Source organism: Homo sapiens, chromosome X (assembly GCF_000001405.40).
Source record: "Homo sapiens chromosome X, GRCh38.p14 Primary Assembly".
NCBI lineage: Eukaryota > Metazoa > Chordata > Mammalia > Primates > Hominidae > Homo > Homo sapiens.
In genome coordinates this window covers 118331810-118335366 of record NC_000023.11, presented here as the reverse complement: position 1 = coordinate 118335366, position 3557 = coordinate 118331810, and positions in this window count along the sequence as shown.

The window sequence follows — 3557 nt, the reverse complement described above, 5'->3', positions numbered from 1 at the left end:
CTTTGGGAGGCTGAGGCAGGCAGATCACTTGAGTTCGAGACCAGCCTGGCCAATATGATGAAACCCTGTCTCTACTAAAAATACAAAAATTAGCCAGGCATGGTGGCACACACCTCTAGTTCCAGCTTCTAGCTACTCGGGAGGCCGAGGCAGGAGAATCACTTGAACTCAGGAGGTAGTGGTTGCAGTGAGCTGAGATCGCACCACTGTACTCCAGCCTGGGCAACAGAGTGAGACTCCATCTCAAAAGAAAAGAAAACAAAACAAAACAGTAGACAACTTGTTTAGAAATGAACCATGGATCTGGCCTCAGTCTTGGGCAAAAGTCTGAAAGTCATGACCTAAGAAGAGGGATGAGGGTAAAAAGGGAATAATAATTTAGTCTGTACTTATGATCTAGCTTGTATTTTACAAGTTATCTCAATCATTTAATTCTCAAACCTTTCTCCACTGTATTTTTATTTTCATTGTGTAGGTAGGAATCTAAAGCATGTGGCACGGTCAAAATTTGAACTTAGGTGAGTACTGAGCCTTAAAGTGAATGCTTTTCCTGGTATACCACACCAAATGCATACCTTTATCTCTATTTTTCCTTTTGGAAATTGCAGAATGGCTGAGCTAGGAGTTAGAATTAACAGAGCTCACCTATTGGATGCTGCTTCCGATTCTGAAAAAAAGTCTACATTGACCATACATAATTTCGGTTCTAGTATTCTGAAACAACCCACGAGGCTTATTCAAGCAACTAAACTCATTGTCCCTTGCTCTTTTAGAGGCTGACATCATGACTGGGTGCCTTGACTGTGGTCAATCCAGGATTCTCATGTGGGCTAATGAAGGGTTGGCATTAGCCTAATTAATTCAGTAGACAGAGTGAAGATGCTAATTAAATGTGGCCTGAATCTGAAGATTTGTATATTTCACTAATTTTGGAAAACTCTCAGCCATTAACTGTTGGATATTGCCTTTCTCCTATTCTGCTTAATATTTTCTTCTAGAAGTCACATTAGATATGCAGTGGTCCTTCTTATTATATCCCCCATATGCTTTAACCTGTCTTTTGTGTTTTTAAAATGTGTACTATGATCTTTATTTGTGAACATATATTCATTGGAACTTTCTCTTTGGAAATTCTTTGAGGCCTAGGTTTAAAGTGTATTCTTCCAGAGAAGAGTTGCACTTAACCCTGCTAGTAACTTGGGAACGCTATCAATCCAGAATGATTTTAGGCCTAATTTCCAGTGTGAGATGTCTTGATCATACAGATAATGTGAAAGTTGAACCTAGACCTACCTGAGTACAAGTTTGGGGTTATGAAGCTTTCAAGGAGTTCTTTTTTTTCCCCTCATTTTTCCCCCATACTTCACAGAGCTAAAACCGAGGCAGGCCCATACCTCTACCATCTGCCTCTGAGTGGTAGTTTTACCCCCTGTTCATCCATTACCATTTGGGGGTCTGACTTTAACCAGAGAAGAAGGGGGATAGTGTGTGTCTGATCCAATTTATAACCTTGCTTGGGCCCTGGGAGTTGTCTCCTTTGCCCCATGCACTTGAGTGATCCGTTAAAACTACTTTTTAGGGGCCAGGCATGGTGGCTCATGCTTGTAATCCCAGCACTTTGGGAGGCCAAGGCAGGTGGATCACCTGAGGTCAGGAGTTCGAGACCAGCCTGACCAACATCGTGAAACCCCGTCTCTACTAAAAATACAAAAATTCGCCAGATGTGGTGGGGCATGCCTATAATTCCAGCTACTTGGGAGGCAGAGACAGGAGAATTGCTTGAACCCGGGAGGCGGAGGTTGCAGTGAGCTGAGATCGCGCCACTGGACTCCAGTCTGGGTGACTGGCTGTTTTTGAGACTCCATCTCAAAAACAAACAAACAAATAAACAAAAACAAAAAACAAACCAACAAAAAAACCTACTTTCTAGGGTTGCTAGGAACCAGTAGCTATCCAAAAGGAAATGCCAGATTTATAGCTTCCTTTTCCTTCGGCATTAGTGCTAAGATATCCTTACTGGCTCTTACTCTCGCCATCTCAACCATCAGTCATGCATTTAAAAGGATATTTTCTATCTGTCTATCCATCTATCAACCATCTATAATGTATCATCATTTTAAGATGTGCCATACTGGGTGGTATTTCTTTGGCTATCTCTTCTGCCGTATAACCTCAGTTAAATTCTATTCCACAGAAAGATGGGGATTTGGATAGGTTGGATTCAGTTCTGATGGAGTTGTCATGGAAGCAGTCTTTTAGGCAGAAAGTAAACTGTATAAAAGTTCTCCTTTTGGGGCTGTATTGATTAGGCTATTACATAGTTGTTGCAGTGGATATGTTATTATAGTGTTGTATTAGTCCGTTCTCACACTGCTATAAAGAAATATCTGAGACTGGGTAATTTATAAAGAAAAGAAGTTTAATTGGCTCACAATTCCAGGGGCTGTGCAGGAAACATGCTGGCCATCAGCTTCTGGGGAGGCTTCAGGAAACTTACGATGATGATGGAAGGCGAAGGGAGAGCCAGCACTTCACATGGCTGGAGCAAGAGGAAGAGCGAGAGAAGGGGGAGGTGCTACACACTTTTAAATAACCAGATCTCTTGAGAACTCTATCACGAGAATAGCACTAGGGGGATAGTGCTAAACCATTCATGAGAAACCACCCCCGTGATCCAATCACCTCCCACCAGGCAACACTTCCAGCACTGAGGATAACATTTCAACATGAGATTTGAGCGGGGACACAGATCCAAACTATATCAAGTGTCTTTGAAAATAATGGTGCTTGAAGTCCTGGATCAGAGAGTGTGCCATAGCTACTTCTACTGGCAGCAAGTCCTTGAAGAGGCCAGTTACTTTCTGGGCTGGATAACTGCAGAAAGTGGATCAAACACTGTTTGGGTAAAAGGTGAGAGTTCATTTTTTCCAAGAGAGTGTGAGGCTATCTAGTCTGCCGAGGAAGGATAGAGTTTCAATCCATTTGAAACTGAGCTACTTTATTATTGAGGATCCATAACTTTTGTCTAAAAAGGAGTCTGAACCTATGAATTAAGTTGTCTTAAATAAATAAATAAATTTTAAAAAGGGGTCATTGATTTCTTTGCTTGAAATCTAAGTTTTCTCCCTTTGAGTCTACATTTGTTAGTGGACAGCCATTCAATGAGGAATGAAAGTTAATGAGGCCAGTAACAGAAACCAGTTTCCCCTTGTCATATATCATAGGTAGGAAACTTGAAGTCTAGGCCATGTATCATACCATCCCTGGGAAAGACTTTCGACCCCATCAATCTCTGAGGATGCCCATTGTAAATCCAAAAGTCATTCTGTAAATGAGGGGGTTGAAGGCAAGAAGTGATTAACTAGTAATACCCTAAGCCAATGCTCCCCCAGGAGTAAGGGTTGGGATGGTAGAGGAGGAATGTTCATGGTTTTATTGAGGAAGTGTTGTGTTATGGACCTGTGTAGTGAAGGAAATTGGGGAATTTGTTTTCAGCTTAGACTCCAAACCAGGAGTGGCTTTTCAAAAAAAAAAAAGCAGAAGGGATTTAAAATGCA